Source organism: Homo sapiens, chromosome 12, assembly GCF_000001405.40.
Source record: "Homo sapiens chromosome 12, GRCh38.p14 Primary Assembly".
Lineage (NCBI taxonomy): Eukaryota > Metazoa > Chordata > Mammalia > Primates > Hominidae > Homo > Homo sapiens.
In genome coordinates this window covers 132,184,996-132,211,411 of record NC_000012.12, presented here as the reverse complement: position 1 = coordinate 132,211,411, position 26,416 = coordinate 132,184,996, and the positions used below count along the sequence as shown (strand labels likewise).

General features: G+C 59.2%; 1 protein-coding gene and 2 long non-coding RNA genes across 7 annotated transcripts in view, besides 2 other annotated features; 2 read left to right on the top strand and 1 right to left on the bottom strand.

Annotated features, from left to right (window-relative positions):
* Positions 1-15,040, top strand: part of GALNT9 (polypeptide N-acetylgalactosaminyltransferase 9) — a 133,218-nt gene extending 118,178 nt beyond the window's left edge. Inside the window, exons 1-7 of one of the 2 annotated variants that reach the window (NM_021808.3) lie at positions 5,384-5,489; positions 5,701-5,851; positions 7,722-7,907; positions 10,151-10,288; positions 12,143-12,238; positions 13,453-13,620; positions 14,159-15,040. In NM_021808.3, coding sequence (NP_068580.2) covers positions 7,743-7,907; positions 10,151-10,288; positions 12,143-12,238; positions 13,453-13,620; positions 14,159-14,305 — 714 coding nt within the window. In that variant the 5' untranslated portion in view covers positions 5,384-5,489; positions 5,701-5,851; positions 7,722-7,742 and the 3' untranslated portion in view covers positions 14,306-15,040. Of the gene's footprint in view, positions 1-5,383; positions 5,490-5,700; positions 5,852-7,721; positions 7,908-10,150; positions 10,289-12,142; positions 12,239-13,452; positions 13,621-14,158 lie in introns of those variants that run through there. The other variant, NM_001122636.2, reaches the window with a different exon arrangement.
* On the bottom strand, positions 4,311-12,149 carry LOC105370091 (uncharacterized). 4 transcript variants are annotated; one of them, XR_007063541.1, is made up of 6 exons: positions 12,047-12,149; positions 11,460-11,718; positions 10,125-10,231; positions 9,756-9,973; positions 5,732-6,949; positions 4,311-5,625 (listed from the first exon to the last, which is right to left on the bottom strand). It is a non-coding gene; the product is annotated as an uncharacterized LOC105370091 (long non-coding RNA). The 4 variants fall into 4 exon arrangements; XR_007063540.1 differs by having other exon boundaries at positions 4,311-6,949; XR_007063539.1 differs by having other exon boundaries at positions 4,311-6,949; positions 10,137-10,231.
* Positions 21,197-21,256: a silencer, noted in NCBI's record as "silent region_5115". NCBI's record gives its function as "represses an Ori minimal core promoter by ATAC-STARR-seq in GM12878 lymphoblastoid cells {active_cell/tissue: GM12878}" and the evidence as "EXISTENCE:reporter gene assay evidence [ECO:0000049][PMID:35858748]".
* Positions 21,387-21,866: a silencer, noted in NCBI's record as "silent region_5114". NCBI's record gives its function as "represses an Ori minimal core promoter by ATAC-STARR-seq in GM12878 lymphoblastoid cells {active_cell/tissue: GM12878}" and the evidence as "EXISTENCE:reporter gene assay evidence [ECO:0000049][PMID:35858748]".
* LINC02361 (long intergenic non-protein coding RNA 2361) lies at positions 21,717-24,677 on the top strand. Its single transcript, NR_146452.1, has 2 exons — positions 21,717-22,233; positions 23,711-24,677. It is a non-coding gene; the product is annotated as a long intergenic non-protein coding RNA 2361 (long non-coding RNA).
* Positions 24,678-26,416: the final 1,739 nt, after the last annotated feature.

Genomic DNA, 26,416 nt, shown 5'->3' with positions numbered 1-26,416 from the left:
TCGGATCATGAACTTTAAATCATTATAACTAGGCTCAAACACACCTTTATTCGTCAAAATAGGAAGCATTACAATCAACACATTTTTGCCAATGAGAAATAAGTTCGTTTATTCCTGTAGCATAAATATATCTGTGCTTCAGGATTTGACAAACTCTTGGAAAGCATTTTCTGCATCCTGCTGGTTGTGGAAGCGTTTTCTCTGCAAAAAGTTGTCGAGAGGCTTGCAGAAGCGGTAGTTGGTTGGCGAGAAGTCAGGTGAATGTGGCGGATGAGGCAAAACTTTGCAGCCCAATTCGTTCAGCTTGTGAAGCGTTGGTTGTGTGACGTGCAGCCAGGCGTTGTGGTGGAGAAGAACTGGGCCCTTTCTGTGGACTGAGGCCGGCGGCAGGCACCGCGATTTTTGGTGCATCTCATGGATTTGCTGAGCGCACCTCTCAAGTGTGATGGTTTTGCCAGGATTCAGAAAGCTGTTGTGAGTCAGGCCGGCAGCCGACCACCAGACAGCGACCTCCAGACAGCGACCACCCAGACGGCGACCTCCAGATGGCAACCGCCAGACGGCGACCTCCAGACGGCGACCTCCAGACGGCGACCACCCAGATGGCAACCGCCAGACGGCGACCTCCAGATGGCGACCAAGCCCTTTTTTGGTGCAAGTTTGGCTTTTGGCAAGTTGGAGCTTCTTCTCAATTCAACCATTAAGATGGTCAGCTTCCCTGACCGCAGCACAGCCTGCCCATGCCAGCTCTGCACAGCCCCACAGCCCAGGAGGACGGGGCTCGGGCCTCAAGCATGCCTGTGTCTCACCGCCAGTTAACCCCACTCGCCACCCATCTCCGCTCAGAGCTGGGGTTCAGGAAGCCGTCCCCAGCCAGGGCGCACCTCCTGCCCAAGCCTCATGGCCCCACTCAGTCCTCCAGCTGCACCCACACGTGATGAGTGTGACGTCTGAGCCTCGCCTGCCTCCCCTCTAGATGACAGTTTCACGATGAAGGCCGCATGTCCCCAGCGCTTCCAGGAGAACCCTACGAGCCCTGTTGCTTTGCTTGCCTTGACCAGAAGAACAGGTCCGACTTCACGGGACGGCCTCGCCCGCAGGCCCTTTGCCAGGCCCACAGCGCCGCCAAAGACAACGTCAGTCCTGAATGTACAGGGGGAGTTTTTGACCCAACGCCCACGCGCAGCAGGGCCCCTCTCCTGTCTCTCCTCTCGCTGTGATGTGCCAGCCCGGGGCCTGCAGACGACGGGCCCCAGGGACCCACCCATCTCTGGAGGAGTCTCCTGTTTTCCCATCTCTGGCCTCTGCAGTTAGTGACGGCCCCTCAGCCTTGGTGTGTCACCCACGCCACCCGTGTCTTCCTCGTGTGACCAGAAAGGGGTCCCCATCCAGACCCCAAGAGAGGCCTCTTGGATCTTGTACAAGGCAGAATTCGGGGCGAGTCCACAGAGTAAAGTGAAAGCAAGTTTATTAGAGAAGTAAAGAAATGAAGTAAAGAGAAGAATGGCTGCTCCACAGGCAGAGTGGCCCCCAGGGCTGCTGGTTGATTATTTACTAATTAACTTTTGTGGTTATTTTTTGATCATTTGCTAAACAAGGGATGGATTATTCCTGAGTTTTCTGGGAAAGGCAGCAGGATTTCCCCGAACTGAGGGCTCCACCCTTTTTAGACCACGCAGGGTAACTTCCTGACGTTCCCATGGCATCTGTGAACTGTCTTGGTGCTGGGGGGAGTGTCTTTTAGCAGCTAATGCATTATAATGAGCATAAAATGAGCCGTGAGGATGACCACAAGTCACTCGTTGCCATCTTGGTTTTGGTGGGACTTGGCGGCTCCTTTACTGGAACCTGTTTGTTTGTTTGAGATGAAGTCTTGCTCTGTCACTCAGGCTGGAGTGCAATGGTGCGATCTCGGCTCACTGCAACCTTTGCTTCCCAAGTTCAAGCAATTCTCCTGCCTCAGCCTCCCAAGTAGCTGGGACTACAGGTGCACGCCACCATGCCCAGCTAATTTTTTATTTTTTATTTATTTATTTATTTATTTTTTTTAGTAAAGACGGCATTTCACCATGTTGGCCAGGATGGTCACGATCTCTTGACTTCATGATCCACCCACCTCAGCCTCCCAAACTGCTGGGATTACAGGCGTGAGCCACCGCACCCGGCCTACTGCAACCTATTTTATCAGCAAGGTCTTTGTGACCTGTGTCTTGTGCCGACCTCCTATCTCATCCTGTGACTTAGAGTGCCTTCACCATCTGGGAATGCAGCCCAGTGGGTCTCAGCCTCATCTTACCCAGCCCCTGTTCACGATGTGGTTTGAATGGCTCTAATGCTTGGACTTCCGCCCTGGCTGTGGGGCCAGATGGTCAGGTAGCACGGGGGTGACCACAGGCATCGTCACCCAAACCAGGACACCTGAGAGTTACCAGAGGTGCTATTAATAATTACCCCAAGACAGGGGTATCAACTCGGATTGTCTTGGGCAGTGGGGATGCATGGCTAGTAACTAGCATTAACTGGTACTATGTGCTGCATGCAAGGAAGCCACAGGAGTGAGGGTCTTTGCCAGCTGTACCTGCCAAAGCAGCATGGATGGGTCAGCTCTTGGATGTGTAACAATCCACTCTGAAATGTTGCGGCCTAAGACAACCATTTCCTTGGCCCACAACTCTGGGTTGGCACATGGTCTATGTGGAGCAGAGCGGCTCTGCTCTCAGCTGGCCTTGCTGATGCCGGCAGTCAGCAGCCAGGTGAGCGGGGTTGGCTGGTTGGGGTGGGGAGGAATGGGCTCAGCTGGGCGGCTTCTCTCTGCTCCACATGGTCTCTCATCCTCATGCTGGCGGCCAGGTTACAAGACAGAGATCGGTGTGAGTGCAGTCTCCTGAGGCCCAAGCTTGGCCTTGGCACTGGGTGGGTTCTGGCCCTTTCTGTTGGTCCAAGCAAATCACGTGACGAAGGCCTAGGGTGATAGCGTCCCCCTCTCAGTGGGGAGAGCTGCACACACAGACGCCAGAAGGCGAGTCCAGCTTATCCCCAGTTGCTCTCAGTGCAGAGTGCCAGCCGGGCTCCGGCCTCCTTCACCTGATCTTCCTCTAGTGTGGCCAGGAAGGGGAGGGGCCCGGGCCTCCTGCCTCTTGAGAGCCCCTGAGAGGGGGGCCAAGTGCCTCTGGCTCCTGTGGGAGGATTTTGCCTGATCCTTAGGTGTTGGTCTCCTCTGGCCCACAGAGTGGAGAAGTTATTGCCAATATTCATCTGAAATTTATAGAGGGGTTAAACTGTTTCCCTTGAGACTGTGATGGGAGAGCCTTTAAATTCTCCCTCTGCATAAGCATCAATCTCCCGGGGAGCGCGGCACAAGGCAGATGATATACTGGTCCCTGGCTTCAAAATATGTGAAAAACTACACGGTCATTAACTCTGACGCAGAAAAGAGACCTGCCCCGGGTGTGGGGACGCCACACACCAGTGCTGCTTGCGCGAGGAGTCGTGGTGGGGGGTGGGGGCTGTCTTGTTCTTTCCCTGTTTTGCAGGGATTGGAAAGGGGATGTTGCTGAGGGCATGGGGGTTCACTCTCCGACTTTATCACTCCTGAGCTAATGGCCCTGCTGAAAAGCCAGGTCACGCAAGCCGTGGGCCCTTGTGCTTAGGGGGCACCTCACACACCCCGAAAGCTCAGGGGTCTGCGGCCCAAGCCCGGAGACTGAAGCAGCCCAGTCCCCGGCTGTGACAGGTCCTCAGCTAATGATGGAAGTTGGCCGACTCCCACCGCCCGGGAGCCTCGCCTCTCCCGTAGCTTCGGTCCTTCTAGAGACACGGTGGGGGACCCGAGGGCCGAGAGACCTGAGGCTGCATTCACCCAAGAAGGGGCCTCGGCACCACCCGCAAGCTCAGCACACACTGACGGGGCTGGCACCTGTGGAGCTGGCTTGGGGAGGCCTCGCAGACCGCCCAGCAGTCCCACCAGGTTCCCATGTGGAATCGCCCCAGCGCCACAGAAGGCCCCGGGGACAGAGTGGCCGTAAGTGGCTGTGGGGTTCCTAAAGGGAACACATTCGTTCCGCAGCTATTTATCAAGCACCTACTGTGTGCCCGGCCTCGCTCTGAGCACTGGGAGGCAGCTGTGAGCAGAAGCGACAGAAACCCTGTCCTGCGGAGCTGAGCCATGGGGAGGGACAGGCAGAGACGGGGACGGATAGCAGGCGGCGCCATACTGAGGGGTGTGAGCCTCTGGTCCGGACGCCCAGCTATGGGGCAAGGACGGCGGCTCTAAACAGGATGGAGGGAGAGGACTCACCCTGAAGACTTGATGGTGACATTTGGGGTTTATTTTTACTTTTTATGTTTTCAGACAGGGTCTCACTCTTTAACCCAGGTTGGAGAGCGTTACGTGATCTTGGCTCACTGCAGCCTCAACCTCCCGGGCTCAGGTGATCCTCCCGCCTCAGCCTCCCAAGCAGCTGGGACCGCAGGCATGCACCACCACACCTGGCTAATTTTGTTTTTTTCTGTGGAGGTGGTGTCTCACTATGTTGCCCAGGCTCGCTGGTTTTTTTAATGGACAAATAGGATTGTCCCCGTTCACGGGGTATGGCGTGCCGCACTCAGGTCAGCCGCCATCTCCACATTTGCCATTTCCTTGTGTGGGGGCTCGGCTCCTCCTCCCAGTTGCCGGCTGGGTCACGGTCAGGTCCACGGTCCTCCCTCAGCGGCACCAGCACTGGCTCCTCTCTGCCTGTGGTTTTGGTCCTTTTTTTTTTTTTTTGAGACGGAGTCTCGCTCTGTCGCCCAGGCTGCAGTGCAGTGGTGTGATCTCAGCTCACTGTCACCTCTGCCTCCCGGGTTCAAGAGATTCTCATGTTTCAGCCTCCTGAGTAGCTGGGACTACAGGCATCTGCCACCATGCCCAGCTAATTTTTGTATTTTTAGTAGACATGGGGTTTCATCATGTTGGCCAGGCGGTCTCGAACTCCTGGCCTCAAGTGATCCACCCACCTCGGCCTCCCAAAGTGCTGGAATTACAAGTGTGAGGCCCCTGTGCCCGGCTGGTTTTGTGCCTTTAACTAATCTCTCTGGCACTAGAGCTTTGAAGGCTGGAGGCAGTGGAGCATGCAGAGACCTGGGAAGGGCGCCCGGCGTGGGCACCACCTGTGCCAAGGCCCTGAGGGGTGCACGTGGGGGTGCTGGGAAGGCCAAGGTGCTTCGAACCCAGGGGGTGGGCAAGGCAGGCGTCAGGAGCCCTGGGGGGCTTCGTGTTCCCCAGCGTGAGGCCCGAGGACAGGATTCTGTGGTGGGTGGGGGGACCGAGTCACCGTGGCCTCTGTACTGGGGGTAGACAAGGAGGCTGAAACTGCTGGAGGTCGTCCCAGAGGCCAGTGTGCCAGGCGCTTCTGAAGACGGGTGGGCAGACGATGGAGGACGAGGCTCTGTCCCGCCCCTGCAGAGCTTCCTTCGTTCCGGCCCCTTCCAGCGAAGGGCAGGGCTCCGAGGTGCTTCCCCCCTCCTTCTCACGAAACCTGGGTGGTCTCAGGTTGAGGGTGGGAGACATCCGCGGAGTGGGAGGGCGGTGGGCGGGATTCACCAGCGGGGCCCCTTCCCGCTGCGAACAGAAATCCCGACCCTAGTCTGGAAGGCAGAAAGGAAGCCCCGGCTCAGGGGGCTGGAAAACCCCAGGCTTTTCTCAGGCAGGTTGTCCCACAGCAGAGACAACAGACAGAAACCCAGAAACCACCTGCCACGATGTGAACCTGATGCAGAAACGCGGTTCGCTCCCTCGGGATGCAAAGGCCAACTTCAGCCTGGCACGGCGGCGCCGCGGACTCCACCATCCCGGGGAAGGAGCCGGACCCCTGTGGGTGACGTGGGACTGTGGGGCGGGGGTGTCCCCGGCTGGGCTGAGCTGAGCAGCGAGGAGGCTCTGGGTTGCCGGACCGGGGTCAGGGAGCCTGGCGTTAGCTGCGTGCTGTGTGGTCATCTCGGCGAGGAGGGAGCGGCTCCCTCCTGCCCCGGACTCTGGATCTGTCCTGCGGTGGGCGGTGTCGGAGCAGCCGTAAGTGATCGGCGATACGGCCTCCCGGTTCTCTCTCTCCCTGGGACTCGGCTTCCTGAAGGCAGAGAGTCCGGGGGAGGGAGGAGCCCCCTGCTCCCCCACACAAGGGACTGGGCCTCTGGGGTGGGCTGGGCTGACAGGCGACCCCCGGAGGATGCAGCTAGGGGACGTGTGAGTGTGGCCCTCTTTGGGAAAAGGGATCTTTGCAGACATGATTAAGATAACGGCCTGGAGATGAGAGCAGCCTGGACGAGGATGAACCAGAGTCCAGGGATGACTGAGGGATCCGAGCTCAGCTGGGCAGAGGCTCCACCCCGTGCGCCCCTGCAGTTGGCACCACCCTCGGCCTCGGCACCTTCTCAGCACCGCGGAGGGAACGGGGCAATGCCAGGGCTGCCCACCCTTTCTCGGGTGGTGGGGGGATTCAGGAGATGAGGCAAGCACAGTGCCCGCCCTGGGCCTGGCACACTCGTCCAGCATGGCAGGCTCAGGGCTGAGGACCTGAGCACGGCGGAGCTTGGGCCACGTGGATCAGACCCATTTGTTCATAGTGATGTCAGCCCGTGGGTGGCATCGGCCTTTTTTTAATGGGGTGGATGGGATGGGACAGCACAGGATAGGGTAGGATAGGATGGGACGGGGCTGGCTCAGGGCTCTCCAGGGAAACAGATTAATAGCAGATGGTGGGGACGTGGGCTTAGCTGTGAAAGTTCATCTAAGGAATTGACTCACCCGGTTACGGGGGCTGAGGGTACCGAGATTGGCCGTCGGCTGGCAGGCGCCCAGGAGAGCCGGTGGCGTGAGCTCCAAGCCTGAAGGCAGGGGAGGACCCACGTCCCAGCCCGAATCGAGCAGAGTGTGTGAACACTCCCTGCCTCGGCCTTTCTGTCCTACTCAGGCCTGTAGGGGACAGATTTAAACACGGCTCCCACCAGAGGCCATGCACAGACCACCCAGAATCGGGAGAGCAAACGTCCCAGCACCCTGTTCCCTGCCACGCTGACACAAAACCAACCCTCACAGGCAGGACAGCGCGGGGGGACAAACCGGAGTGAAAGAGCACGTATAGGAAGGCTGGTATTGCTTAAGTGGAACGACACGGAAGGAAGCATAAAAGGATACGCAGTGACAAACACGTTTCTGCTGCGCGTGGGGGTTCAGAAAGCCAGGGGCTGCGGGGTTTTATTAGCTGGGGAGGCTGGTTGGGCTTTTGATTGTGTGTGTTCTGGGGATGCGTGGAGCGGTGTCTGCATGGCAAGCAGCTGTTTGTAAACAGATTGTTGGTGTGTTCGGGTGCTGGGGGAGGTGGCTGGTGCAGTGGGGCGGGGGGTTCCCTGCACAGAACAAGCACTGGGGGTGGGAACCACAGGGTGAAAAACCTGTTAAGTGTTGGGGTCGGTAGAATAAACCCCCCTCCCCACAGCCATCGTGTAACGCACAAGAGAAAGAAGTCCCAGAGAGGACGCAACCCAGACCTGAACTTTCTCTGTGGGCGGGGTCCCCTGAAAACAGCCCCCGAGAGGCAAAGCCCCGGGACCCACCAGGCCCGTCGGTGGTGGGGGTGCCCCAGGAACAGAGGGCCGGGCCCCTTGGCCTCTCACGGGCCCCTAGCTGGCCGGGCTGCCCGCTTCCGTTGGGAAGGACGCCGGCACCCAGCGCCGTCTCCCCGCAGGTGTGGCAGTGTGGCGGCAGCATGGAGGTGCTGCCCTGCTCCCGCGTGGCCCACATCGAGCGCACCAGGAAGCCCTACAACAACGACATTGACTACTATGCCAAGCGCAACGCCCTGCGCGCCGCCGAGGTGTGGATGGATGACTTCAAGTCCCACGTGTACATGGCCTGGAACATCCCCATGTCGGTGAGTCCCCCACAGGCCGGGAGCCGGGGCCATGCCCCAGGGTCGGGGTCAATGCCACGGCAGGGCTGGGCCGGAGGGAGGCCCCCTAGGGCCCCCTGCAGGTGTGAGTGGGTGTGTTGACAGGTGTGCACAGGTGCAAGCAGTTGTGTGTGCAGGTGTGAGTGGGTGAGCTGTCTGCCTGGGAAGGAGCCTTCCTCACACTGGGAAGAGACCAGCTCACACCCACCCCGGTGTGGTGGGCGTTTTTCCTCTCAGCCTAGAGCAATTGCCCCGTGGTTAGAAGCCAGGGAGGGGCGGCCTCTCCCCAACCTGGTGCCGCCGCCTCAGCCAGGGCCCCACTTAGTGCCCTGCACAGCACCTGTCAGCCAGTGCGGACCCCTCCCCAGCCCCGGGCAGCCTCAACTGTCTGGCGGTTTCATGAACGGCTCATACGCTGTGTGGCTTCCCGTCCTCAGCGCCACCTTTTCCAGGTCACCCCCACCATGGCTGAGTCACGTCCACAGTGTGAAAGGGCCCCTCGTGTGGATCCACTCGTCCGTGGATGGACGTTTTTGGTTGTTTCCTGTTGGGCTTTGGCCTATGAGTGGCTGACCCGCTTCAAGTTGAGGATTGCTGTTTGTTTTCTAATTTGTAATTTCCCATAAAGAGCCTGAATTCTGGCTTTTCTCAAAGCGCCCCACCCCCACAACCCTAAGAAAGGCAGGTACTGAGACGGGTGGCCGCGACCCATCCCGCCACACCCCAGCGTCTCTGGAACCACCCCCTTCCTTCCCTGGCCACTGCAGGCACTGGGTCCCTGAGTTCTGGGAGGGCTCATCTTAGAAACGGGCTTGTCTGCATCAACCCTAATGAGCCAGATCTTAAGTCATGACCCAGCGCACACACGCATACATTTACATCTGTCCACATACAGCGCTTTGTGTACGTAGCACCAAAGTGACCCTTCTCATTTACAATATTACTACTTCTTAAAACTTCCCACCACAGCCCCTAAATTGGCTTACCACCCCCTGCTAGAGTGCACCCCAGCGTGTGGGTGACACGGCCTGAAGTGGCCCCGGGCTGGACCATTCACTGCAAATCCAGCATCCAGCCCCCATATCAGCTCCCGCCAGGCAGATCAGGAGCCGTAGACACGTGCACTCGTGTCTGAGAGACGAGAAGAGGGTACCCGGTGCTCCTACAGCCTTGTTTTCCATGAAGTGATAAGGAAAACGTGCAGGGTGATGACCTCCCCAAGTGTGTGGGCAACTGAGTGAGGTGCTCCAGGCCCCCGGGCAGTGAGGCCGGCAAATGCCTGTCACCTCCGTGTCCAAGGGCCCTGGTGTGAGCCCCTTGGCTGATTAAAACCTCATAACAGAGCAACAATGAGTTTCTGGCGTGATCGTCCCCACTTTACCAATGAGTAACTGAGGCACAGAGAAGATAGGGGACTGTCCCAGGCCCACATACCAGAAGGTGACGGGATTCAAGCCCAGGCCGTGAAGGCCAAGTCGTCTGCCCTCCCCACAAGGCCTGAGCCTGGAGGGTCCCTGGGCAGGGTGCAGGTGCTCCCTCAGGGCTGGCTGTCCGTCAGAGAGTGCTGGTCCCTACAGCCTCTCAGGCCCCACAGTCCCAGGAAGACACAGACACCGCACTCGGCTGTGGGTTCTCACGGCAGAGGACACGGGTCAAAGTCAGCAGAGGGAAGAGACGCCTGGGCAGGGACCAGGAAAGGCCAGGTACAAGCTCTCAGGTGTCCCCCCGCGGGGGGTCCCAAGGACTTGATTCTCCGGCACCCATGCGTGACAACACGTGCCAGGCGGGGCCAGCCAGGAGCCCCCAAGCCTCAGTATCCAGGGTCCTCACCAGGCTGGTCTCTGGATATGGCTGACCTCAGTCTCCACCCTCCAGAGGTCAGGCTGATGCCGTGCAGTAAGGCCAGGTGAGCAGGGCCGTCTTCTCAGGCAGGAGGTTCCTGGGCCCGGGTGGGTGTGGACGAGCCGGCTGCAGCAGGGGCCGTCTGTCCAGGCCGGGGCTGGCCTCTGGCAGGGTCCTTCCCATCAGGAGCAGCTGCCTCAGACCCTCTGTGGATATTAGGAGGCTGGGGGGTCCCAACTGGATGGGGCCTCAGCATCTGAATACTGGGGGGGAGGCTGCTCCTGTGAGGGCACTTGGTCCCTGGAGACCCCCAACCTCATTATGGGGAAGACCCAGGTCATGGTGACACCCATGTACCCTCTCACCTACTTCTGGCCTTGCAGAACCCAGGGGTGGACTTCGGGGACGTGTCTGAGAGGCTGGCCCTGCGTCAGAGGCTGAAGTGTCGCAGCTTCAAGTGGTACCTGGAGAACGTGTACCCGGAGATGAGGGTCTACAACAACACCCTCACGTACGGAGAGGTAGCACCTCCCCCGAGGGCCCCGTTCGGCCCGACAGGCTTTCTGCCCTGACTCCTGCACACGTATGCATTCAGGGTGATGCAGGCACATCCACATGCACACGGAGAGGTAGCGCCTCCCCCAGAGGGTCCCACTCGGCCCGACAGGCCTTCCGCCCTGACTCCTGCACACACGTGTGCATTCACGGTGATGCAGGCACATCCACGTGCACACACAAGGTGCAGGTTCACATAAACACACGCACCTGCAGACCCACATGTCCATACACACCCATTCCTTCACATGGACCTCCCTAGAGGCAGGCAGGTGTGTAGTCACATCCATGCGTGTTCACATGCCTGATTCAATGTACCTACGCTCTCACGTATGTGTACATAGGGATACATGCACTCACCTAGATGTGTGTACAGAGACATTCACAGGCAGGTACGTAAATCCATGCAAACACTCATATGTACAAGAGCACGCGGACACGAGTATACATTTGCACCCAGTTTTGCTAATGTACACAGCTCTTCCTACACAGATGTATGTTTCACTAAGTGCATGAACCCCAAAGGCGCCTGCCTGTGCACAGATAAACACACAGGCCCTTGTTATCAAGCAAAATAATGTGTGTGTGTACACGTCTGTGCATCCACATATGCGGAGCCACGTTCATACACCAGCGTGCATGCATGAAGGTGCCCCCACAGATGCACACAATGGGTGATATGCACACTCACACAGGCCCATCAGCTACACAGAGACCCCCGTCTCCACTGGCCCCCACATGCACAGCACTCCGTAAAGCCAGCGAGAAGGTGCTGCTCTTCTGCCCTCTCCCCAGTCTGTGCAGGGGATGGGGTGCCTCCCACCATGAGACTCGAGCGTCCCAGCCCTGAGCTGGCACTCGGATGGGGCAAGGAAAAGGGTCCCTGGGGTGGATGGTCCTCGCTGAGCCTCCCCTCCTGCAGCTCCTGGTCCACCCTGCGCTGACTCCAGTCCCTTGGGCACAGAGGTTTCCCAGGCAGTGCTGAGTGTGCATCGGGGCACCGCCCCTCTCCCCCAGCCTCCCTGTGCTTCTACTCTGCCCACTCCATCCTCAATTAGCCAAGTGCAGGCACCCCCAACCCAGAGCAGCCGTAACATCCAGACTCTGCTGGGCTTCCTCAACGGTCCCAATTCAAACCTGTGTGACCTCTCGTGGTGGCCGTGGTGGATGGGTCAGCTGCTGCTGCAAACCCAGCAGCCTGGAGACGCGGTGGACAAAAGCAATAAGCATCTACACTTGCTCACGAGCCGGGGCCACCCAGGCAGTGCTGCTGGCCTGATCCAGGCTGTGCTGATCTCCGATGGGCCTGTTCTGGAGGCTGGAGGTTGGCTGCCCGATGACAACACATCCCCCAGCAGTCTGGCCCGGGCTTGTTCTCAGAGGGCTGTCAGGGTTCCTTCCAAGACAGAGTGGAAGCTGGAAGGTCTCCCAAGGGTCCAAGCCAAGGCCAGCCTAGACTGCAAGGCTGGCGAGCGGTCTCTACCCACTCAGTGGGAGCCGCAAGGGCACAGGGAGCAGGCGGCAAGGCAGGGAAGCCACTCCACAGCCTGGGGCCGTCGTCCCTGCTGCTCAAGTGTTCCCCTATGGAGTGATGGCCAAGTCTCCATCTGTGCATGGCGGACACTTCCATGTCTCCATCAGTGACAAACTCGGTCAGCCACCCCTTCCCAGGCAGCCCACCCGGCCAGAGCATCCCACACGCCCCCTCCTCCTCCCGCGGGCACCTCCTTAGGTGCTGGCTGCAGAGCTGGCTGCGTGAAGCTCCCTGGGGCCGCACCCTCGGGTGACTCTGGACTTTCTCCTGGGGCTTCTGCTTGCAGGTGAGAAACAGCAAAGCCAGTGCCTACTGTCTGGACCAGGGAGCGGAGGACGGCGACCGGGCGATCCTCTACCCCTGCCACGGGATGTCCTCCCAGGTAGGAGTAGCAGCGGCCACCCATGCAGCTCCCAAGGGGACGACCCCAGGCCACCCGGACCCTACACCCTGGGGCAGAGGCACGGGTCCAGCCTGCTGGGGTGTTCTGAGGCCACCAGGGCTGCATTCCAGGGCTTGGAGCAGCCTGAGGGCCCCTCTAGAAGAGGCCTCCCAGCCCGCCCCACCTGGAAGGTAGCAGAACACGGGGAATTGAAAACAGCCTGGGCCGGGTGCAGTGGCTCACGCCTGTCATCTCAGCACGATGGGAGGCCAAGGCAGACAGATCACTTAAGCCCAGGAATTGAGACCAGTCTGGGCAGCGTGGCGAAACCCTGTCGCTACAAAAAATACAAAAATTAGCCGGGCATGGTGGGGCATGCCCGTATTCCCAGCTGCTCGGGAGGCTGAGGCAGGAGGATCACCTGAGCCTGGGATGCGGAGGTTGAGCTGAGATCACACCAGTGCACTCCATCCTGGGCAACAGAGCGAGACCGTATCTCAAAAAATTAAAAAGGAACCAGGCCTTTGGGGTCAGATGGGCTGGGGGTGCATCACTCCCCCCTCAGTCAAGAGAGACGGCAACAGCACTTACCGCTCAGGACTGTCGCGTGATTGAAGCGAAGTGTGGGAAGCATTGGCTCGGGGGGTGGATTAACACGGCAATAGTGCTGTTGACCTCCGAGCACTCCCCACCTGGGCAGGACTCACCTGCAGCACAGGCCCAGGCCCAGCCCCAGCCCCAGCCCCGCAGAATCACAGTGGTCAGGGGCTGGCCGTAGTGAAGGTCCAGGCCATTCTGACCATGACCCCCATAAGGAGCTGGACGTTTCTAACCCCACGGGAATGCGTGTTCCGCTCACACACGGCACTGCATGTTGCCCAAATTAAACCCAACTCCTGTCCTCCCCGAAACGAGTGGGGCCGCGCTCTGGGTCTGAGCCACATTCATGACGTCTGTCCAGGCGGAAGACCAGCCAGCTGTGCAAGCCGGGAGCCTGGCCCTGCGGAGCATTTGGGCGCCGTCCAGCCCGCATCCCCACGTGGGCCCTGCCCGGCGGTCCTCTCCCGCCCGCAACAGCGTCCCCGGGGTGGGAGGCTCCAAGGCAGCCGCGCAGGGCCCCGTTTGCAGCTCAAGGCAGCTCGCACGGCCTGTCAGTGCTCACTGGGGAGAGCCTGGGCGCTGCTCACACACAGTCCCGGTGGTCCTGTCCCCAGCTGGTGCGGTACAGCGCTGATGGACTGCTGCAGCTGGGGCCTCTGGGCTCCACAGCCTTCTTGCCTGACTCCAAGTGTCTGGTGGATGACGGCACGGGCCGCATGCCCACCCTGAAGAAGTGTGAGGATGTGGCGCGGCCAACACAGCGGCTGTGGGACTTCACCCAGGTCAGCCTCTGGGGAAGGGGGGCCGTGGGGTTGGGGCGGGGCAGGGCTGCTGGGACCCCTGGGTGCCTCTGCCACTAGAGCCAGCCCATTGGGTGGGAGCTGGAGTGCGGCAGGGGGTGGTCAGGGGACCGGGCCTTGGATCAGCTGTTCCCTTATGGGCCCCGACGCTCACAGAGAGGGCAGGTGACTGGTCAGGGTCACACAGCCAGAGAGGGGTCGGGCTGGACAGTCTGATCATAGCCCTGCATCTGCCTCTTCCAGCCTCAGGTGCCCAGGGTAGAGGGAGGATTTAGGAAGGGGATGAGGTATGATTCCAACCTGGGCCGCTAGCCCTGCAGGAAAGATGGGAAATCCTCGAAGCTCCACTGAAGTCAGCCCCTTCCCGGCCCCCCTGGGTGCTGCTGTGATGCTGGCTTTCCATTCAAGCTGCCCCAAGAATGAGCACGAGGGCTGAGAGCACGAAGCAGCCTCCCTGAGGTGGGGGGAGGGGGAACAAGGACGCCTGCACCTGGCTGACTTGATGTGCCTGTCCCCACAGAGTGGCCCCATTGTGAGCCGGGCCACGGGCCGCTGCCTGGAGGTGGAGATGTCCAAAGATGCCAACTTTGGGCTCCGGCTGGTGGTACAGAGGTGCTCGGGGCAGAAGTGGATGATCAGAAACTGGATCAAACACGCACGGCACTGACCCCACCTCCGCCCGGACCCCCACAGACCTCGGGAAGGCGCTGGGCCGAGCCAGTGTGGCTGAGTGACCGGGGTGTGCCCGGCAGACACAGCAGGACAGGGCTCTATGTGCGGCCAGGACAGCAGAGGCTGAGGGGCCGGGGTGTGGCTGAGTGACCAGGGTGTCACCCACTGCATCTGGAGTACAGCTTCTCCTAGGACAGGCGGCTCTACCCGAGGGAGGGCGTCTGGGGACAGTGATGCCAACTCAAACACGTGCCTTCTCCACGGTATCTCCTGGCCAGGCTGCTGGGACAGCCGCCGCCTCTGCATGTACCACAGCCCCCCACGCCCCATAGGGAGGCCAAGCCCCGGACCATGCACCAGGCTGCACCCTGGTGTCTTCCACCCGCAGGCCTCCCATGCTCCAAGCAGCCTCCCCCAGCACTTGCGGCCGCTCAGCCCTCCAACCAAGACCTAAGTCACACATCATAATGCAGCTCCTTGTGGTCTGGTAAGAGGGGTGCTGGAGGACATGGACAGCGACAAACCTGAGGCCGTGTCTAGGAGGCTGGCACGACTGCTTCAGCAGAGACCAAATAAAGAGAGGATTAGGCAGCAGCACTGTGTGTGTCTTCCTGGGAGCCGAGCTGGGGGTTGGGGCCCGGTCCCACCTCTTTCCCAGGCACCTGGGCCCTGCCGCAGCCCAGCCCCTTGCCTGTTTTAATAAATACAGTTTTATTGGCGCCCAGCCACACCCAGTTGCTTACTATTGTCTGTGGCCACCGCTGCGGGGCTCTCGGCACAGAGTCAGGCCATGGCCGCGTGGCTCACAAAGCTGCAGACGCAGACTCTGGCCGATGAGGAAATCACTGGATGACGCCTGTGCTGGGATGTGGCCTGGCAGGTGGCCTCACGTGTGCAGACAGACCATGAACTCGATGCAGCCGGGAAAATGGAGGAGAGCACGTCCCCTGCAGCCACACATGCAGCTGGAGGCCGTCAGCCTGAGAACTCAACCCGAACAGAAAACCAAAACCACGTGTTCTCACTTATCCATGGGAGCTGAATGCTGCATGCACATGACGCAGAGAGGGAATAGCAGACGCCAGGGACTCCAGAGGGGCAGGTGGGAGGGGGAGGAGGACGAGGACGAGGGCTGGAAAACCACCTGTTGGGAGCTGCGTTCACTCCCTGGGTGATGGGATCGTTAGAAGCCAAAACCTCAGCATCAAGCTATATACCCACATAACAAACCCACACATGTACCCATGAATCTAAAATTTTTTTTTTAAAAGGCCAGGCACGGTGGTTCACGCCTATAATCCCAGCACTTTGGGAGGCTGAGGTGGGTGGATCATCTGAGGTCAGGAGATTGAGACCATCCTGGCTAAGGTGAAATCCCATCTCTACTAAAAATACAAAAATTAGCTGGGCATGGTGGCAGGCACCTGTAATCCCAGCTACTCAGCAGGCTGAGGCAGAATATAGCTTGAACCTGGGAGGTGGAGGTTGCAGTGAGCCGAGATCGAGCCACAGCACTCCAGCCTGGGCAACAGAGTGATACTCCATCTCAAAGAAAAAAAAAAAAAATGGGCAGGTGCCAAATTTGGCAAGTCCAGGCTCCGAGTCTCCAGGGAGTGAGGACGCTGACCCGTTGTCACCAGTCGGAGTTCAGCCTGCGGGGACACGTCACTGTCCGCTAGCCCTGGGCAGAGGCAATGGGGCTGGGAACACTTCACTTTCCGCTAGCCCTGGGCAGAGGCAATGGGGCTGGGAACACTTCACTTTCCGCTAGCCCTGGGCAGAGGCAATGGGGCTGTACTTCACTGCTCTTTCCAAAGCCCGCAGGGGCTCATGTTCCTCCCCCAGCACCCTGCCTGCTGGGGTGCCCACCCACCACACGGCCCCTCTGCTCAACGCCTTCCTCTGGGACTCCCCAGTCGTTGCTTCCTGTTCCTGTAAGAAGCCCTGAGGGGTCCCAGTTTCTCTGTTCTCAGCAGAGAATTCTCCCAACCCCAGCCCAAGCCTCAGCCCTCTGTCTAGTCCAGATCTTGCCAAAATTCTAAGATCATGGAGGCAAAACACGGGCAGTGAGTGAGGCCCCAAAAGTGAGTGGCTTGCCAGGGACCCCCCCCACCCCCAGCCAGACTCACAGGAGTCCAGAAGTTTCCCAGGTGAAGTTAGGAGTCCAGAAGTTTCCCAGGTGAAGGATGTGCAACGTCCCTTATCTTGCAACGTGCAGTGCCTGTAGTTTAGACCAAGAGGATGGCAGGTGCAAACTCGGCTCGCTCACACACCAATTCATTAGGCAAATTGACAGGCAAGTCAAAGCTGGCTGGTTCATAGCCCACACAGGATCCCACAGAAAACCTGACACCTGGAAAATTACTCTCGAATCCTCAGTAGAACTCCCACCCTTCAGGGAGGTGAGTGTTCCCTCCCACTGAGGGAAGCCTATGGCTGCTCCGCCTCACCTGGCCCAGCCCCTCCTCCCTGGCACCAGGAGGAGTCCCGAGGGGAGCACCTGGGATGGCAGATCCCTGCAGGGCAGCGGAGGTGAGGTGCTGTCCACGCTGTCCGGACAGGAGACTCTTCAACAGGCATGACTTTGACTTGCCAAACACTCTGCTTCACCAAATACACCTCCAAGTGTCCTTATTTCCCTGACTATTCCCCTCTGTCCTTACCTGCCTAAGTGGCCACACGCCTCTTGAGAACTGCCCCTGTTCTGGAGAAAGTACCCACGAATCCTAGAGATCATGTAATCCAAAGAGCTCCCCACCCTTGCATGGGTGGGGCAGAGCTGGAGATGTCCCAACGTCCGCTGCTGCCTTTGCATCTGCTGCCACACGGTGTCGCTGTTGAAGATGGTCCCTGCACGGCTGCATGGCCAACACTCGGCCGTGGCCACCAGGATGTCCTTGCTGGCCTAGACTCTCACGCCTGCCTCAGAGGGGTGCCCCACATGGGAACCAACCATACTGTTTAAGTCACAGTGACATGCTGATGTAGATTGGATGTTTGTCCCCTCCAAATTTCAGGTAGAAATTTAACCAACATGGAGGTGGTGCCTGCTGGGACGTGTTTGGGTCACGGGTGGATCCCTCATGAACAGTCCAGCACTGTCCTCATGGTAACTAACATCCACTCTAGTAGTTCCTGAGGGAGCTGGTTGTTAGAAGGGTCCTGGCACTGCCCTCCCTGCTCCCTCCCTCACCACGTCCCCTCTGCTCTGAGAAGAAGCTCCCTGAGGCCTTCCCGGAAGCAGATGTTGGTGCCAGGCTTCCTGTAGAGCCTGCAGGCCCGTGAGCCACTTACACCCCTTTTCTTCACGAATTACCCTGTCTCAGATGTTCCTTTATATGAATAGCAAAATGCCAAACGGATGGAGACATGCATTTGCCCTGACCCCAGCACAGTCCCTGGGCTCAGGAAAACGTGCAGTGCAGTCCGTGGGCTGTGCCATCTGTAGGCTGTGCCGTCCGTGGGCTGTGCTGAAGCCACCGTGATCCCCTAAACCCTTTGACACATGTGGATACGTCCCTTCCTGTAAGGCACAATCACTCCTCCTCATGGACTTCTGTGTCCTGTTTTGTAACCATAGGTCCTTGGTTGGGGCCACCCCAATTGTATCAGGTGGGATCCAACCAGTCAAACAAAAGGGATTTAATATGGAGGACCGATTGCCCAAGTGAGGGAAGAGCTGAGGCTTTGACCAGGCTCACAACTGCCGAAACCGCCTACCAACACCCACAGGCTGGAAGGGCTGGGAGCTGGGGTTCCGGCAGTCGGTGGGGGGCCTACAGCAGGCAACTCCAAGCTTGGAGACTGCGTGTTGGTCGCCTGGAACGGTCCGTGGTGGAGAGACAGACAGAGATACAGACACTATGATTGGCAATGCTACACGCCACGGCTGCGCTTCCAACAGCCTATTGTCAGACACTGGCCAGCACACCCCCAACTTGCTCTCCCAAAACCCCCAGACGCAGAGCACCTCCCCAGTCCGACGGACGCGACCGAGACACGCAGAGAACCTCCCCAGTCCGACGGACGCGACCGAGACACGCAGAGCACCTCCCCAGTCCGACGGACGCGACCGAGACACGCAGAGCACCTCCCCAGTCCGACGGACGCGACCGAGACACGCAGAGCACCTCCCCAGTCCGACGGACGCGACCGAGACGCAGAGCACGCCCCCAGTCCAACAGATGTGACTAAGACAGGACGCACAAGAGATTCCTTTCAGAGCAAAGGTCTACAGAAACGCCAGCTCCTGTCCCAGGTACTCGGGAAAACTGCTGCCAACCATTCTCTTCTCCTTAGAGGAGGAGGAGGAGGGAGGACAGAGGAGGATGAGGGAGGACACAGGAGGAGGATGAGGGAGGACACAGGAGGAGGACGAGGGAGGACACAGGAGGAGGACGAGGGAGGGAGGAAGATGTTTATATACGGCTGAAATTTTAATCCCATTTAATTCTTCAAATACCTTAAGTAGTACTGAGCACTCCTGTGCCCACTTAAGGAGAAACAGAGGCTCGGAGGAGTAAAATGACTCCATACAAGACACACGCATCACAGAGGCCGACCCAGGGGGTCCCACCCAGATCCATGTGACCCCAAACCTGCGACCTTCAACCCTGCCTGGCTGCCCAGTATTTTTTTCTTTTTAAACAGTCATGTTTTAAATGGCAAGGATACAAGCAAATAGAATTTAATAAAACTTAATAGCAGGCCTGCTTCTCCCATTGATTCAATTAAAATCTGGCTCTGCAGCAGATTCAGAAAAATCCACGTCATCTGTTTGACATGGTTCATTGGCACCTGACGACCGGGGCTCGGAGCGGCCGGTACAGGAGCAGGCACTCCCCCAGCCCGACGACAGGGGCTCGGAGCAGCCAGTACGGGTGCAGGCACTCCCCCAGCCCGATGACCGGGGCTCGGAGCGGCCGGTGCGGGAGCAGGCGCTCCTGGTGGAAGCAGTGAACAAATACACACGTCATTCTTCTCCTTTCTCTGCTCTTGATAGAGATCCTGGGCATCCGAATTTAATTTTGCCTCTAATAAAAATGCCCATTGCCTGATGAGTCTCATTTATGGCTCAGACCGACTTCAAGAGTGGGTCCTACAGGAAGCAGCATGCGGGGGGGGCCTGTCCCCAGGAGCGGGGCAGCCTCGAAGGGCCCCAGCAGGGGTGCAGGCCGGGCTGGTGTTGACCAGGGGCCCAACCACACAGAGCGTGGGGGTCTCCCAAACACTCCCTCGTCATCACAGGCAAGTTTAGCTCTGGTCGAAGCAAGGGGAAGGTGAAGGGCAGACTCCAGGGCGGGGGCCCCCTCTGAGAGGGCTGCAGGGACAGCTCTGGGGTCTGCAGAGAGGGGCAGCAGCAGACACACCTGGGCGCCCTCTCCTCACTGGGCAGCTTTGGGGAAATTACTTTCTCCTTCTGAACTGCATTTAATTCAAACAAGAAATAATACAGGCTCCAAAGCTTTGCTTTGAAGATTAGGAAAAAAGCACATCATAACTGTTATATTCCTGGGTGGTTTTGATTTTTTTATTTGCTTCTTGTATTTCCTAAATTTTCTGCAAAGAAACTTGTCTGCAACGAAGGATAATTGGCTCTTTTGTTTATTAATATTCATTTGACACCCACTGCACAGCGGGCGCTCTCCCTCACAGCAGCGGCCCATTCCCGAGCGCGTGCAGTGCCTAGCTTCCGGCCCGAGACACAAGGAGGGCTTCTAGAGGGATCACCGTCCACGCTGACACTGCTGTCCGGTGACCAGTCCCCGTGCTGGAGCTCACTGGCTGGTGACCAGTCCCCGTGCTGGAGCTCACTGGCCGGCCCGCAGGCCGCCTCTCACACCATGTCCTCCCCACCTGCCAGGCACCGGCTCACCAGCCTGCCGGGCCTGTGAATGCCCCAGTCCCAATCACGAGGCCCTCCCATGTTTGTGCCCAGCGCTGCTGTAACACAGGACCACAGCAGGTGGCTTCAGATGGCAGAATTGATTCCCTCACAGTCCCAGAGTCCAAGGCCCAGGTGCCAGCCCGGCTTCCTCCGAGGGCTCCGGGGCTCCTCCCACCTCCTCCCTCGCTGGGCCTGACCCGTCTCTGCTGCCGGTGGCCTGTTCCTCACCCCACCCCCATGTGTCTCCTCCACGCCTGCACCCTCTCGTCACCTTGCAGGGACAGCAGCCTCGGATTCAGGGCCCACCCTGCTCCAGGGTGGCCTCATCTTAATGTTCCATCAGCTAAGGCCTTCTCTTTAAATAGGTCTCATTCGGGGGTTCTGGGTGGACGTGAATTTTGGAAAGACAGCCCATGACCTTCTCCTATTGCCCAAATAGGCCCAGAAACTTCCCCGAGTCCTCCGAGGTGCAGAGCTGTGCTGAGGTCTGTGGGGAGAAGAGAAAGGCTGACCTGCCCCGCTGGACACGTGCTATCCCCGAGCCCCTCAGTCCATCGTCAGAACGGCCCCTCGACATGTGCGTGGCCAACGAGCACACGGAAAGGCACGACGCCAGCAGGCACCGGGGGCTGCAGAGGAAAGCCACGGCGGCCGGACTGGCTGAAGCACCCACGGGCAGCACGGGCGAGCCTCGGAGCGCCCCAAAGGCCCACCCGCTGCTGGCGGGGTCACGAAAGGCCACGGGCACTTGGAGCCACCATGGGTCACCACCTCCCTATAACCAAAGGTAACTCACAGCACCCCGGCCCGGCAATCTCACACCTGGATTCACCCAAGGGGCATGAAGACACGTCCCCAAAGACTTACAGTAAAATACTCACACCGGCCTTATTCACAATAGTCCAGAGCCGCAAGCAGCCCGGTGCGTGAGCCCTCAAGTCAGGGGCAGCCTCGGCGGGGCCTGTGCCTGAACCGGCCCTTGGCGGAGAGGAGGAGCGGCCGCGCGGCGGGAGAGGGGCCGGGCAAAGCGCACATCCGCCCCTGGAACCCGCACAGCCGGTCACCGCGCGCCCGGCGGGGTCGGAGCCGAGGCTGCCTGTGACCCCGGGAGCTGGGCGGAGGGCACAGGATCCGTCCGGATTTTCTGTGCAACGTCCTGGGAATCTAAAACTGCGTCAAAGTAAAAAGGTCTTTTGGTTTTGTTGTTGTTTATTCTACTTTAATTTCTGGGGCACATGCGCACAACGTGCAGGTTGGTTACAGACGCCCAGCGGCTTCGGAGGTGCCGTGCAGAAAGCGGCTGCCCGAGGCCGGGGGAGGCGCCGGGGAGGGCGGGGAGACGCCGCGGGAACATTCGTCACACCCCGCGGACCTGCCCCCGAGACGGGCGCCGCCTGGGACCCGCGCGCAGTGACTTAAAAGGGCGAAGGGCCGCCCCAGGCCCCGCCCTCGACTCCTCCGTCGCTGCGTCTCCTCCGTGCTCCGTCCCCGGAAAGACGGGCCCCGCCCCGACTCCCTCGGCGAAGAGGCCCCCGCGGCCGGCCGAGCTCCGTGGACTCCGCAGGAGCGGCCCCGCCCCTCACACTACGCCGGGCGGTTCCCTCCGAGCCCCGCCGGGACAGCGTCGACGCTGCACACACCCCAGAGAAGCCAGAGGACGGCGCCTGCACCGGACACAGCGCAACACCGGCACAGCACAGCGTCCACACCACAAGTGAGCCTAGGCAGCTGTGTCTACACTGCAGACGCCGGCCTGAGCGCACGCGTCTTCATGCAGGCTCAGCAGAGGGGGAAGAACACCTCCCCGAGGGTGGAAGAGCTGTGGCCAGCAGACAGATGGACGGACAGACGGACACAGGCGAACAGGCAGCGCAGGGGTGAGCCGAGCCGGTCAAATGGGCCAGGACCCGGCTCCGTGTGCCCTTCACAGTCAGGATGACAGAACCCCGTGGAATATGAAAAATGCCGGGAGACAGACCCCGGAGGCACAGCCCCTCACCGGGCAGGGAGGCCGCCAGAGGGAAGCGCAGCTCCAGGTGCGCGCCCCCCCACGCCCACCCCATCCCCCGCTGGGCAGGGAGGGACCCCACCTGCGCCCTCAGGCGGTGCTCAAGATGGGGATAGGGTGAGCTGCAGAACCGATTTCATCTCTGGAGTGAAATGGAATGATGGGTTTGTGTGAAATCAGGACAGAGCTGGGGAGGTGGCGGAGCCGGGACGGGAAGAGGGCAGAGCAGTGGGCTCATTCCCCGGAACCAGCATCTCCTGGCCCGGTTTAGCCACTGAGGGAAGCTTCTCTGTGTATTGAGCCTGGCTGCCCAGAGAGCAGCCCCACCCTCCCTCCTGCTCCTGCTCCTCTCCCTCCCCCAACTTCTCGTCCCCTCTTCCTCACCCCTGCCCCCACCTCCAGCCTGACTCTAACGCTGCACTGGCCTTTAGTGTCTCAGAACACAGAGCAGTTGCTGGGCAGAATCCCCCGTGCCACGATGCGTCCACGCACAACACGGGAACTAAACCACCCGAAACGCAGCAGGTTAAAGCAGCGCTGGGCTCCTGGTCCTCACAATTCTCTGGGTCCATGGGGGCTCCCTGGGCTGGCTCATGGGCCGCCATGGTCACCAGCAGGGCTGGCCAGGCCGGGCAGCAGACGGCTCCTGGCAGCTGGCGGGTGGGGCTGGCCGTCGCTGCGGCCTGGGCTGTCCTCCGCACGGCCTCCTGCCTCAGTTTTCTGTTTCTGATGAGCCCCGTATCTAGCGGTTCAGAGCAACGCCAGTTCATCCCCTGGCAGCTTCCATGGCCAGGACTCAGCCACGGTGTGGGTGGATTTGCCACTCAGGGCTCACAGCCTGGAGTCCAGGTGCCAGCAGGGCAGGTGCCGTTCTGCAGGCTCTGGGGAAGAACCCGCCTGCAGGCTCGCGGGGGGGCCTGGCAGCTCTGGGGGCCTGCAGCGGCAGGGCTGAGGTCCCGGCCTCCTTGCAGGTTGTCAGCCGGGTCCCCTCTCGGCTCCTGAAGGCTGCCGGCATCTTCCTCTCAAGGGCCCTTCCCATCTTCCAACCGGAAACAGCATGGCCAGTTCTCCTGGCTCTGAGGGGCTAGTGAGCAGGCGAGGCCACCCCGATGACCCCCCTTTTGAGTTTAACTGAGGACGGCGCACGTCCTCACGTTCCAGGGCTCCTGTGGAGAAATTCCGCACACCACCCTCACCTTCCTGTAGGTCAGGCCGGTTCCTTCTGCGGTGGGCGTGGGAGAGCCACAGCCCAGTGGAGAGGCGTTGCAAGGCCCCACACCCCTTCCACCATGTTCTACCAACCACGGCAAATCAAAGGCCACCGAGACCCAGGGCCTAGGGACACAGACCCATCCCGGGAGGGGAGGTGCCGCCCAGTCACAGTCCCACCAGTGCATGGACACAGGGAGAATTGCCCGGGCCCCGGGTTTGGTGAATCCGGCAGCCCGCCCTCTGCCCCAGCGAGTCCCTTCCCCTCTCATAAAACCGCATTCTCCCCTCCCTAGACCACCAGAGCCCCATCTGATTAAGGCATCGAGATCAAAGCTCAGCAGAGGGCGGCTCATGATGGGCAGCTCAAAAAAATAAACCCACCAATCAGAGTCCGTGTTCCTGTGACCGGTGGCGGGTTCGGATGCAGAGGAGGCTTCTCAGTGCGGTTCCTCCTCATCTCGGAACCTGCCACCCCACTCAAGCCCGACATAGGCCAGGACAGCCAGGACGGCCGCAGCGAGGGCAACACGAGGCCCGTCGACATCCTGAGGCCCCCGGGCCTGTCGCCGAGTCCCGGCTTGGGGAGTGTCCCCGGGCCACACTGGTCCTGCTCCCGGCTGTGTGGTCTCCCAGGCGCGTGGCTCCTCCCTCCGGGGCCCAGGCTCTGGTGTGAGCCACTTTTTCCATAGGAGACGCCCATACTTGCAGCTCACGCCTTTGTCTGGTGCCCTGGCCTCACACCTATAGGAATTGGGTACCTGGGGGCCTCTTCATCTTTACTTGTCTCAGCTTAGAGAAGCCCAGCTACACTTCCTCCATGCCTGGATTCATGCACGGCCCCACAGGGTGAGGCCTGGACACCCTCACGGGCACTGGGGCTCCACGGATGCAGAAGGCAGCCTGGCCCGGTAGCTCGGGGGTCTGAGATGGAGGTGGAGTAAGACAGAGTGACAAAGGCTGCGTCCTGGAGGCAGGCTCGGAGCCTCCCTGAGCTCAGAGAGCCCGCGTGCGCCAGGAAGCCACACCTGCAGGACCCGAGTCGGAACTCAGAGGCTGGTACAGCCGCGGTGCTTGTCCTGTAGATAAGAATGGCCTCCTCTGGCGGCCAAAGTTAATTAAACTGACAATCTTGATAAGTTGCACAGTTACCTGCTCGGGGACAAAGAAGATGGGAGCCTTGTTTGTGGTTTCTTCTTGTTCTTTCCTGTGCCCCACAGTCATTTTAAAATTAAATTAAATGGCTTATCTGCACTAACCCAAGTTGACCGGCTGGTATTTCCTGGGCGGCGAAGTGCTGGCTGCCCGGCCTGTGCCCTGCACACGCTCCCCATCAGAGCACAACGTCGCCGGGCCACGCTTACAGGGCTTTGAAGATGGATTTCAAAACTGGGATCATTTCCCCCTTAACGGGCATAGTTCAGTGAGATCTGATTTTTTCCCTTTCTAACCTCAGAACGTGGCCTTCCTGGGGGTGTCCGGTGGGTGGTCCCGATGTCCCCACAGAAATGAAAGCGGCCTCCTGGGCAGTGCTCACGCTTCTCTCTGTCTGGCTTTGGGGGCTGCAGGAAGCAAGAGGTCCTGTCTCAGCAGCAAAGTCGACGCCAGGGCTCAGCTGACCGCAGCCCTCCCTCCCTCCCTCCCACCGACTCCGACCGTGGCTCAGAGGGAGGTCAGGAGCCGCGAAGGGAACAGGGAAATTTTACTGGTTCTGACCCAGTGAAGACATGGGGACTTGCTACATATTCAAATGAAACAAAATAACACAGCAGCTCTTCAGATGTGTAAGAAAAGGAGGGAGGGAGGGAGGAAGGAAAGAAGAAAGAAAAAGAAAAGGAAGGAAGAAAGGGAGGGGCGGAGGGAGAGAGAAAAGAAAGGGAAAGAAAAGAGAGGAAGCAGAGGTTGCCACAAGACAGAGAGCCATTCCGGAAGAAAACAGCCCCAGGAATGGAAGAGCACTGCGCAGGCACCTCTCACTTCAGAAGATCGAAGCTGGCAAACTTGTAACAGAAGACCACGGGGTTTAGGTGACAAAACTGAAGAATGAGATGAAAACAACCGATCACAGCGTTGAATAAACGAAAGAACACCCAAAAAACACCAAGATGAAACGAGAAAACCCAGAGGAGCGGAAACCAGACTAAGCACAGCTGAAAACTGAGCTGCCGACGAGAAAAAATGCTTGTGGCGGGGGCGCCGATTCGAGATGGTTTTTAGTTTTTGACACCAGGTCTTGCTGTGTCACCCAGGCTGGAATGTAGGGCACGTTCTCAGCTCCCTGCACCCTTGACCTCCTGGGCTCAGGTGATCCTCCCGCCTCAGCCTCCCAGGTAGCTGGGACCACAGGTGCACGCCACCAAGCTGGGCTCATGTTTTTTTGGAGAGATTGGGTCTCACTGTGTTGCCTGGGCTGGTCTCAAACTCCTGGGCTTGACCAATCCACCTGCCTCAGCCTCCCAAAGTGCTAGGATTACAGGCATGAGCCACAACACCCGGCCAAAAATGTTTTAATACATAGGGTAAAGCAACAGAAAAAACGATAATGAATTATTTGGAATACACACAAAGATAAGTCCGCACAGGGAGAAGAGGTGCCTCTAAGAAGGAAAACCTCAAAAGTAAAACGGGAGAGCTGCTTAAAGCTATCACACAAGAAAATTCACCTGACATGAAAGAAGGATTAATCCGTACATTGAAATAGACTGTGTTTCAGGAAAAGATGACACAGAATTTTATATTGGCACATGATCCAGGTGGAATAAATACAGCCAGACCCTGACAAGAGGGAAGTCAGCCCCAGGCATCACGCCAATGCTTGATGTCAAAAGTCAATGGGTGCCAGGTATGGTGGCTCAAGCCTGTAATCCCAGCACTTTGGGAGGCTGAGGCAGGTGGATCACGAAGTCGGGAGATCAAGACCATCCTGGCTAACACGGTGAAACCCCGTCTCTACTAAAAATACAAAAAATTAGCCGGGCATGGTGGCCGATGCCTGTAGTCCC